Genomic DNA, 12,039 nt, shown 5'->3' with positions numbered 1-12,039 from the left:
CGGGCATAGTGGCGGGTGCCTGTAATCCCAGCTACTAGGTAGGCTGAGGCAGGGGAATAGCTTCGACCTTGGAGGTGGAGGTTGCAGTGAGCTGAGATTGCACCATTGCACTCCAGCCTGGGCAACAGAGCAAGACTCCGTCTCAAAAAAAAAAAAAAAAAAAGAATGTTACTAATGATGAAAAGTTGAAGCCTTCAAAGAATGGCTGACATGAGATCAAGACATTGAATGGTTCTCAACTGAGGTCAGGCCTGCCAATCCCCTGCGGGATGAAATGTGGGGGATGCACAAGGACACGGGATGTTGCAGACTGTGGAGGGGGTAAAAGGCTGGTAACGTGCAGGGAGGGTGCAGAGATGCCATTAGGCTCATATTGCGGAGGATTGCCTAGCACGAGAATTGTCTTGCCCCAAAGGACAGAGCCCCAGTTAAGAAACACTGGGCTAGGGTACCGGACAGATCACCTACATGAACGTAAGTGGAGAGTGATGACAGGGAAATGCTGGAGACAAAGACAGTATGAGCAGGAAGAGGGACAATGAAGGGGAGTAGCTGGTAGAACTGGCTAGCACAGGTTTCACTGGAGCTGGAGGTTTTGAAGGGAAGAGGAGAAATTATTTCGAAGCAGCAATTGGGAGACGGAGGGTACACTTAAGGAGAGAGATTCTCAAGGGACAGCCAGGTTTCGGGTAAAGCAGAAAGGTCAAGAAACATTTGAAAAAATGGAGTCTTGGGTCATTTGCCTGTCACAGATTGAGAGTTCCAGAGGGCACATTGGAAAGGGGGGACAGTAAGGATGAATAGGGGTGCTGGCCAGATAAGGGCGTGTAGAGTTGTTGGGGATGAGTCTGGGGATGAATGGCCTGGGGGGCTTGAGCTTTCAGTGATGACTCAAGTGAACAGGATGGCCGCCTGAAGCGCCTGGCCCTGGCGGTCTCTCACAGGAGGTTGGATCTCATTTGGACAATAGTCCAGAATCCTTAGTGCCTGGACCAGGGGCTTCTAGGTAACTACTCCCTGCAGCAACACCAGAGGGTTTAAGTTCATGGTTCATGTTTATTGGGGTGGGTAGTCCTCGAATAATTTATATAGCTTGAGTCAAACCCAGTCAAAATTTAGAAAGTCTTACTGCACCTCTACTGAATTTTGGAGGGGAGTCACCTAGCAGGTCCTTCAGATAGTCACATGTCCAGGCTGCCTGACATTAACTCATCCGGGAACCACACAGAACTGCGTCTTATGAAATTCAGCAGTGCTTCTTAAACATGGATGTACTCATAAATCACCTGGGGATTTTGCTAAAATGCCAATTCTCATTTAGTAGACTCGGGGTGGGCAGATTTGCCGTTTCAGAGAAGTATATGCTTGCATGGAAAGAAGAGATGCTTTAGAATTGGCTGAGTTCAAATATGGGCCTTCCCTATGCCATCTGTGTGGTCTTGAGCTAAAAATCTCTCAACTGTCTTTATGTAAAGCAGGAATGATGTCATAGGCTGTTGTGAGAATTAAATAATGTGTGTAGTACTCAGCATGGGCCCAAGCACAAAGCAGAGGTAAAGATTTTCTTTTTTCTTTTTTGTCTTGTCCTCAAAACCCACAAAGTGACCTTCTGTGGATTATCAACTGCTTGCCAGGGGGTAATGCCAGGGTATTTCTGTGACACCCACTCACTGATCCTGGCAGAGGGAGAGGAAGGCATGAAAGTTTTCCTCAGTCTTTTTTTATACCTGAGTCTTGTGGCCTGGCTCCCATACATCTTATTCTGGTTTTTTGATCTGAAAATCCCAGCCCCACTGAAGTGGATATTCACTGGCCACATAGACTGAGAGTGCTAGGTAGACCAAATTGCTTTTCTTAGTCTGATTTATTCTTTACTCCCCTATCAAATGCATATTCTTCCGGTGGAGTAAAGCAGGCCTCATTCACTCCACTCCACTCCACTTTGAGGAGCCTCATGGGTGGGACTTCAGACGTACCTGAAGGCTGCCCAGGTATAAATCCCACAGATCACCTAGAAGTTTGGGGTGTGAAGGAAACAGTCTGGTAGCCAGTGGCTTTGGTAGAACCAGGCAACTGTAACTAAGGGAGGGGGTCCGGTGTCAGGGAAGTGCTCAAAGATGGGGGTTCTACTCCAGCCCTCACCAGTATGGGACTGATTCATTCTCTGTTGGGACCATGACACCTTCCCAGATCAGGGCAGGGCCCCAGAATACAGATGGGCTCATCTACTCTCAGGAGAATGAATGCCTTCCTGAGCATGGTGAGAGGAGGCTCTTCTCTCCTTCCCCTCTTGGCTTTGACAGGAAGGAACGACCAAGGGGCAGGTATGAGAGGCCTCAGCAATGCTCTGGGCTTTGAATCCATAAGGAAGTAAGTAGCTGTCTGCCACTGATTTACTTCCTGGAAAGTATAGCAAGAAGCTGTTAACCTTTATTAGCACTGACTTCTGCACAGTTATTATAGAACAAGGTCAATATCTGGGTGATCAGAACTTCAGGAGCAGGTAATGAAAAACACACAACAAAAGACCACTGTCCTCCAGATACTTGGCCTTCTTTCTCCAAGCAAGATCCTGAAATTGCTTTACCAGATTTGAATTTGTAACCTCCTTGTTATAGTCTATTAGGAACCTGTGTTAGCCTGGGGGAAGAGCTCCCTTTGTTTCTTGTTCTGGAGGCCAGAACAAGTAAGTTGTACATAGATCATTCTTGCTTAGAGTGGACAGGCATTGACAGGTCACAAAAGGCTGGTATTCATTTATTTAACAATAGTTAATTCAAGAGAAATTTTTGAATTAGTAGAGGAAAATATTGCTCCACAGTGTGCAAAAAGGCCAGTGGAGGAGAAAGGGGAAGGGGCAGGTTGGAGGTGCCAAGCATTGGAGAACAGGTCCGTAGGAAATGAGCTCATTCTCTCAGGCTCCTGCTTGCTTTGCTGCTTCAAGACAAGGGACAGTGTGTGCATAAGTCGGGGCTATTCCTCTGCAGGTCTGTTCCCTGCACTCTGGGGGAGGAGTCCGTTCTAGCTTGCCCCTCTGCCTCCATTCCCCAGAAGTCAGGGCTGGCACCCCTCCCTGTGAGCAGGTGTGGCTATGCTATCTGACAGCTAAGGCACTGGGCCCACAGATCTGCGCTCAAGATCAATGCAGGTGAATAAAGGTACATGTGCATGTGAGAGGAAGAAAGGATGGAGGGGCTGGCCGTCATGTTCCTGCCGAGCACACGGGATGCTTGGGTTTTAAAAATATACCTCCCCACCCCGCCCAACACAAATACACAACAGTTATAATCTGAAAGAAAGCACTATAAAACATTTCTTATAAAAGTATTTTTTAATAAATCAATGTATTTCAATGTTGTAACATGATAGCCCAATGCTATATCAAGGTAGCAAAAGTGAAGATTCCTGGTATTTTGATATAAACACTATGAATGACAGTACACTTGCATTCAACTTCACAAGAAATTATCTTCAGGTCCATGAAGATTCTTTGACAGCTGTAACACTTTTCAAACAGTAAAGATGTACATGTATTGAAAGAGAAGACAACGAAAGCCTACTAACTGATCTGGGCTCTAAACCATACTGAAGAGAAAGAGATACAATGGTTGTATGGCTAGCTTGCTGAAAAAACATCTAAATCTTTTAAAGAAAGAAAATACAGCATATATCAAAGTTACAGAGTAGCTTACAGAAATGGAGTCATAAGGAGACACACAGATTAGAACCCTGAAGCAGTGAATGTGTTTCTACCCGTTTTGTGATGGAAAGAAGCCATGGATATCGAGTCCTGCAGCTGTCTGTGGTGTTGAATCTCCTCATACACACAATGCTACCAATGGACTAAAACCAGAATTCCCTGCTCTGTACAAATGCTGGTGATGGGTAACTTGCTCTATTGCTGTGGGTCAGAGCAACAGCTGGCTGGATTCAGGCATCAGGACGAGGCTAAGATCATACACCACTGCCTTCTACACTCCTACAGAGTCACACTTTCCAAAGCTGATGCTCCCCTTGTAAGGGTTTAAAAAAAAACCCCAAGGGTATTTAAAGCAAACAGCAGAAACCAGAAGCTTCTGACCCTCTAACATGTATTACTGTCCAACCCACCATGAGAAGTATGTTCACTTGGTGACAACAAAGAGACTCCGTATCATATGTATGTTAATGACCAGATTGTTCATATGGGATTTTTCTTAACAGATTATCAGGTTGAGAATGATTCTTTTTCTCCAAGGGCAAGAAAAAGCTGGCTAAATGCTAGTTAATTAAATCCATTCTCAATTTTGAACTGTAGAGAAGAACCTGACTTGAATGAGATTTTCTAAAGGAAGACATTTCTTGCTCAACCTCAGGTATAATTAGATTATAAGGAATCTCACGTCCAGAATTTTATCTGCTGATTGTTAGTATGGTAGGTAATTGGCCTTAGGACACTATTTCTACTAGAACCCTTTACATTATTTTTAAACTCCAAATGCTGCAGATGAAAGTAAATACAACAAATGCAAGTAAATACAACAAAATAACAATAAAATCACTTGTGTGCTGACTTGCTGGATTCTGGTTAAGCACAGATGGGATGTTCCTGATATTCACTAAGAAGAGTCTAACTAATGGCTACTGTGTGTGTGTCAGTAGCCCAGGTTTAAATCATATATACTTGAATGAATTAGAAAACACTGTACTCCTCACATTATTAAAAATATTACAAGCAAACTGTATCCAAGGCTTTGTACTAACCGTCTGGGGACAGGACTCTCTCTTTTTAGTGAACAAGTCACTGCTAGAGCCTTAGTGTTTTGCCCTCATTTTTAGACCTGAACCAAGTCGACATCTCATTAAGTTCATATATTCCTTTCTTCTGTCAAACCTCTTGAAACAAGCCTTCTGCCCCTAAAGAACTGAGAGTAATTTGTAAAGGCTTTCCTCTCTGGAAACAGAACAGTCGAAAGCATAAATTAGGTTAAGTGGCTTCATTGTCCTCAGGCTAATGCTTATAACCCAAGGTTTATTTTCCCTATGAACAGGGTGTGCTTACGTTGATAAAATGAACCAAAATCAGCTTATGGAAAAGTTAAAAATACAGTTTACTGAAAGATTATGTATCCTCACACAGAGCAATAGCAAACAATCCAATCTAAAAGTTTAAATAAATGTCAATAATTTTAAAACTAACTATATTTTATATGTATATAAAGCTGAAGTCACTGCCTTGGATAGTGTTACACTGCATCCAATATTTTATGAAGGACATTCATTCTTAAGGCAGAAAAATTGAATTTGACATGTAATGACTTGGTTCTTACATCCAAGGATCAAACTAGGAGTAGACTGGAGCAGACAGATTCCTTGCTAACAAGGATTTACCTGTGGTGACAGTTTCATTCTTAGAGTATGTTACGTAAGAGACATACATTTGAGAGAACATATAAATATGAATCTTAAGACACACAAATATGATTTTTTAACGATTGGTCAATGAGACTAGGCATTCTATTATGTGAAATGAGTCCCATGACAAACGCCAACATACTCTTTCTGACATGGTACATAAAAAGTATAAAATATCAAAGAACTACTTTTTTGGGGTAGACATTAGATTCTAGTTTTCAAGGTTTAGTATAAAAGGTAGCCTGAATAGTTAAAAGCAGCTGAATGTCAACTCACTGCTACTTGGAAGGCTACCACTTAGGATATTCCCACACCATCAAAATCCTGTGCAAGGAGGAAATACATGTGTATTAAAATAAAAATGAAGCGCCTCCCCCAATACATGTGCAACATACTTGTCAGTTACTACCAAGAATATCTTGAACGAAAACCAGCTAAACTATAGAATGAGTGGCATCAAAGTCAGAGAGACGTAAGAACATACCACCCCGCCTAGGTGGACGGATATTTGGGATGAAAGCAGGTGTTCCATGGGCACCTGGGGAGATGTGCTACTCAGAGTGGAAGGGGGTGTGAAGAGGAACTGGACCCAGGGTTCCAAGCCCTCAGGGCTGTGTGCTCCTTCACCTCAGGCCAGTCTGATTCTCTGCATCCTGGTGCCAACAACTTTAACAAAACAAACACAAATCTAAAAGACCATTCTGAAGCAGGTGATGGTGACTATAACTGTTTAAGTACCTTTTTGTGTGCCTATTTATGCCATAGATCTGGCAATTGTCAGAAGTATACAAAGATTACCTGCCTAATTTTTGAAGACATGAAGATTTTCTTCTTTCACTGTGGCAGGAGTCCATGCAAGATTTGTAAACAGCGATACAAGATACTGTAAACATAACTTAACAGAGCTTGTATAAAACAGAAGAAATAAATCCAGATTTACGAGTGGATAAAAAAAACAGAGGGCAGCTTCTTACAAAGTTCTCCCTCCTGCGCCAAGTGATTTTTTTTTTTTGATTACAAATATAATCCTGAGCTGAAAAACTGGGATTTGGGGGAGAGCCATCTTTGCATACAAAATATCTAAAGGATGCTTCTCTGTTTACTTTTCTCTAGTGATATTCGACTGCCAGAGACAGTTCTGAATGTGTGACTTTGGAGACATTTATAGTTTAGTGTGGCGCCCGGGTCTGGAGCCTGCTGCAGTGCTTGCCACGGAAGCGGATGCGGCAGCATCCTCTGCTTCCTCCAGTTCATCCTGGAGTTCTTGGCTGACACTAGACTGCAGGGCTGCGGGCGTGAGCCACTCCTTCGGGAGGCAACTCTGTAGAAAGGGTATACAGGAGCTGAAGTAGGCAAGTCGATTGATCCAGCGAGGAATCTCTTTCCCACAAAGAATCTACAGAAGAGAAAGAGTTCTGTATTAGGTAAGAGAGGTTAAGATTACCTGGTCCACTGCCAGGGAGTGGAGGGTGGGAGGAGGGGGGCGGCGTACAGAGAAGCCACGGCAGACTAGCCTTCAGTGGTGTCACTCCAGGCTTTTGATAACAAGCAGCTCTTTACTCAGGACCTGGGCTCCCTACTGTTGGCTCCATTCCTTCCTTTCTAAAGAACCTTGTCAAGTTGCTTACTTTTCATATCTGTGAAATCAAGCTAATTTCACTTGGCTCCTTTCTTTGATCTCTGCAACTGCTGTGAGACACACTGAAAAGTACTTTGAACACACAGAAGACGCTTGTTAATACAATATATTATTAGAGTAATAGAAGCCCCAGGCAATTGGAAGAGTCAATCTTGGATATTTTCCTATTTGTGAATTCTTCTTTTTCACAGATTCTTTTTGACTTTCCCCTTTTCTCCAGTGTCTATCACTCCATTTCTCCTGGTCTACATTTTACCCCTTTACTTCTCTCCCTGACCCACTTGTTTCAAGGGGCTCATCCTGGTCCAGAAAAAACAGCCTGGGTGATAAGAGTGTCTCAAATTAAAAAAGTGTGGGCCAGGCGCGGTGGCTCACACCTGTAATACCAGCACTTTGGGAGGCTGAGGCCGGTGAATTACGAGGTCAGGAGTTCGAGACCAGCCTGGCCAGTATGGTGAAACCCTGTCTCTACCAAAAATACAAAAAATTAGCCGGGCATGGTGGTGCACACCTGTATTCCCAGATACTCGGGAGGCTGGGGCAGGAGAATCACCTGAACCCGGGAGGCGGAGGTTGCAGTGAGCTGACATCACGCCACTGCACTCCAGCCTAGGCAACAGAGTGAGACTCCGTCTCACACACACACAAAGTGTTTTCCCAGATGACGACCTGGCTCTGTGACTCCTCTGCAGAAGTAGGCCTAGAGTCAGACAAGGCATGGAAGCCTGGCCATGCTTCAGTCTGAAGACACTAGCGGGATAGAATACAAGTGCCAGGAGGAATCCCTGCCCGCTGATGATCTGCTGCTTCTATAGTTGCCCACTTCCTGTCCTTATACTGTCCTTAGGACTCTTGAACCCTTCCCCCCGCTCCTATTTCAAATAGTAAGAACTGGGTCTATTCTGTGCCCCTAACTTTATTCTTTATTATCCTTTTTCTCTTGTGCAGACAATGGACTGGGCTGCCGTTCATGCCCCACTGCCACTTTGTTGTTTTTGCCTCCAATTATACCAAAGATTATGATCATGTGATCTCCAAGTACCATCTTAGATATTTGCATATCTTAGGTAATAACTTTGGAAAGGGGTTTCACAGTACCTTATGTCTAAAAATTAGCTAAAATTTAATAAGTTGGCACCTATAATTATACAACGTGTACCTTTTCTCCCTAAAAGTTTAGCCCTACCTCTTAATGCTTATTACATTTATTTTAAATAGTATGTCTCTATCTTAACTATAGGGAAAGTCAGATGGTCTCACTTGAGGGAAGGTAGCATGTGCTAACCACTTTTGATTACCAAGCACCTATCACACTGCCTGTGAGTACAGAGAGGTAGACACTTAAAAATATTTCGGCCCAGCGCGGTGGCTCACACCTGTAATTCCCAGCACTTTGGGAGGCCGAGGCGGGCAGATCATGAGGTCAGGAGATCGAGACCATCCTGGCTAACACAGTGAAACCCCATCTCTACTAAACATACAAAAAATTAGCTAGGCGTGGTGGCGGGCACCTGTAGTCCCAGCTACTCGGGAGGCTGAGGCAGGAGAATGGCGTGAATCTGGGAGGCGGAGCTTGCAGTGAGCCGAGATCGCACCACTGCACTCCAGCCGGGGCAACAGAGCAAGACTCTGTCTCAAAAAAAAAAAAAAAAGTGTACATGAGGCCAGGCATGGTGGCTCATGCCTGTAATCTCTGTACTTTGGAAGTCCAAGGCAGGAGGATTACTTGAGACCAGGAGTTCAAGACCACCCTGGGCAACATAGTAAGACCTTGTTTACACACACACAAATTTGCTGGGTATGGTGGTGTGTGCCTGTAGCCTCAGCTACTTGGGAGGCTAGGGCAGGGGGATTGCCTGGGCCCAGGAGGTTGAAGCTGCAGAGAGCCAAGACTGTGCCACTGCACTACAGCCTGGATGACAAAGTGAGATTCCATCTCAAAAACAAAACAAACAAAAAAGAATGTATATGAACTACATCTGCTCTTAAAAACACTGCCAAACAGGCCGGGCAGGTGAGGTGGTATCTTATGCCTGTAATCCCAGCACTTTGGGAGGCAGAGGTAGGTGGATCACTTGAGGTCAGCAGTTCGAGACCAGCCTGGCCAACATAGTGAAACCTCATCTCTACTAAAAATACAAAAATTAGCCAGGTGTGGTGGCACACACCTGTAATCACAGCTACTCAGGAGGCTGAGGCAGGAGAATTGCTTGAACCCAGGAGGCAGAGGTGGCAGTGAGCTGAGATCGTGCCACTGCACTCCAGCCTGGGTGACAGAGCAAGACTTCGTCTCACCAAAAAAAAAAAAAAAAGCGCTGGCAAACAAATATTACATTGTACTTTACACCTGGGACATATTAGGGCTATCTGCCTATTTAGAGGTTAATCATGTAAGTCATGACTAAGACTATTTAGTTAATGTGATAGCGACTGTTGCCTATTCAACAGCCATTTCCCTCATTCTCCTTCCCAAGTCCTAATTTCATTCAGTAATCTACCCTCCTCCATATATCCATGTGCTACAGGTGAAGCTGACTTCATTCCAACCCCTGAGGGTGTGGCTTGATTAGCCTACAACAGAGTCCTATCTATAGCCACTTGGTTTTGTAGATAGTTTTACTGAAACACAGCCGTGTCTATTGGTTTATGTATCCCCTATACCTCTTAGGCTACAATGGCAGAGGCAGAGTTGGGACTATGAATAGTCCACAAGCCTAAAATATTTATTATCTGGCTCTTTCAAATAAAAGTGTACCAATCCTTGGTCAAGCCATTTATTTATTTATTTATTTATTTTTTGAGATGGAGTCTTGGTCTGTTACTGAGGCTGGAGTGCAGTGGCACAATCTGGGCTCGCTGCAATCTCCACCTGCCAGGTTCAGGCGATCCTCTTGCCTCAGCCTCCCGAGTAGATGGGATCATAGGCATGCACCACCACACCTGGCTAACTTTTGTATTTTTAGTAGAGACGGCGTTTCACCATGTTGGCCAGGCTGGTCTCAAACTCCTGACCTCAGGTGATCTGCCTGCCTCAGCCTCCCAAAGTGTCGGGATTACAGGCGTGAGCCACCGTGCCCAGCCAAGCCAATGTTTTTAAAACTTTGAGTCATGACCCATTAGTAGGTCACTTAGCATTGCTACCTGAATTTTTAAAACAAAACAGATTGGAGGTAGCGAGGTAACCATGACACATCTTAGTTACATGCCTGTGTGTGTGTAAACTGGGTCACAATGCAAAATGTATTTCTTAGGTGGCTAGTGATCAAATAGTATTTGGTTTATATAGCAAAATGAAATTTTGCATTTAAGCTCCAATCCAGCAATCCCTCTTCTAGAAAATCAAGCGTACACATATAGTGGTAAAAATAAAAAGATGTATGTACAGGGTTATTCATTACAACACTTTTTGTAACAGCAAAAGACTAAAATTAACCAAGTGCCATTAACAGGTTGAATAAATTATGGTACATCCACACAAGGAAGACTATTCAGCTAAAAAAAGAAGTGAGGAATATTTCTATATACTGTTACAGAATGTACTCCAGGATATACTATTAGTGAAAAAAGCAAAATGGAGAAAAGCATATATAGGATGCTCCCAAAATATAATAGTGGAACAGGCAGAGAATAAAATTTATAGACATTCCCGTTCCAAAAGGGAGAAAATGGAAGGAAGAAAGGAGTTACTAGTCCCAAACAATTCTGGACTCCAACATTAGGTTTCAAGGCCTGGGAATAATCTTCTATGGCCCTTGGCTCTGCCATCTGGAGATTCTATCCTCTGAATCATCCTTTTTCTCCGGCCAGTTACCTGCCTATAGAATTTTGACAGTCAAAGCATCTTCTTTAATTTTGTCCCCTCTCTGTCTCTTTCAGTCCAAGCTGGCAGTGTTTCTGCTAATATACCATTCTCCAAACATTGTGGATCTCTTGCGTATGTCATGGGATTGACTCCATTAGAAAAGATGTTCCTCCACAGATCGTTCCTGAATAATCCCATCTCCATTCTTGGTTTCTGTCGAGATGGTTGAGATGATCCACGAGTCACATATTTAATTTCTTCAGCAGTTAAAAGGGCGGGGGGGGGGGGGGGGGGGTGGAGGGGAAGGTGGTCCAGTCATGCCCTTGGCTTTCTCTGTAGCATCCTTTCCTAATAGTGAAGCTCCTAATTTCGCATCTTTTGCAATCTAGATAGGCTGAAAAATTTCCTAAATCATTAAATGTTGATTCCTTCTTGTGCTTTAATAGTTCTTCCCTCTATTGTTGTTCTCACATTTTACTATAAGCAACAAGGCAGGCTGCACCTTCTACACTTTGCTTGGAAATCTCCTCAGCTAAATATCATAACCACATAGAAATAAATTCCAATTAACTGTAAAACACATGAATTTTACTGTATCTATTAAGTCACAATCTAAAGATGAAAGAACAACAAAAAACCTTAACCTTCTATACTCATATTGGTGGTGCTTATGGTAACACTATTATTCTACAGCTGTTTTAGGTATAGAGGAGTAAAACAAATGAGCAATTATGTTTCTTGTTGCTGAGAATTTAGATTTCTGACATGGGAAAGATAAAATGTAGCTATCTCATTGATGAGGTTAAGTAAAAATTCTGTAGCCCAGATTTGTAGTAGAAACGTCACTATGAACCTGTAAAAAAGTCCTAGTTTCATCTACTGGTGGGGGTGAGGAGCTAGAAACAATTATCAATTCAGTAGTAGTGAGCAACCTGAATGCCCAGATAAAAGTTTCTAAATATTTGCTATTAGAAGGAAACAGTTCTGAGGTAGAAAATATGTAGATGAGCCTGGAATATCTTGTCATACCAGATAACAAAACGCTGTAGAAGATTACTAGGGACAAATCAAAAGACTTATGAGCCAACTTGAAGAGGCTCCCATGCATCAAAGATGGGACAAAAACAGTCATTACACTGATCCGAAACGAAAATACTTTTAAATCTGGGGAGGAGATATTCACGATGCTAAATTTTCAAAACAA

The 12,039-nt window shown here is 43.2% G+C and overlaps 1 protein-coding gene across 9 annotated transcripts in view; it reads right to left on the bottom strand.

Moving 5' to 3' along the window:
- Window positions 1-3,312: 3,312 nt before the first annotated feature.
- DESI2 (desumoylating isopeptidase 2) overlaps window positions 3,313-12,039 on the bottom strand; it is a 55,908-nt gene continuing 47,181 nt past the window's right edge. For all 9 annotated transcript variants that reach the window (NR_123735.2, NR_123736.2, XR_001737208.3 and 6 more), the window contains one exon: window positions 3,313-6,790. Coding sequence is in view for 6 of the 9 variants with exons in the window: in NM_016076.5 (NP_057160.2) it covers window positions 6,557-6,790 (234 nt within the window). In the remaining 3 variants the exon portion in view is untranslated. The remainder of the gene's footprint in view (window positions 6,791-12,039) is intronic.

Source organism: Homo sapiens, chromosome 1 (assembly GCF_000001405.40).
Source record: "Homo sapiens chromosome 1, GRCh38.p14 Primary Assembly".
NCBI classification, from domain to species: domain Eukaryota; kingdom Metazoa; phylum Chordata; class Mammalia; order Primates; family Hominidae; genus Homo; species Homo sapiens.
Note: the sequence above shows the minus strand (reverse complement) of the source record. Positions and strands in the feature narration are given on the sequence as shown.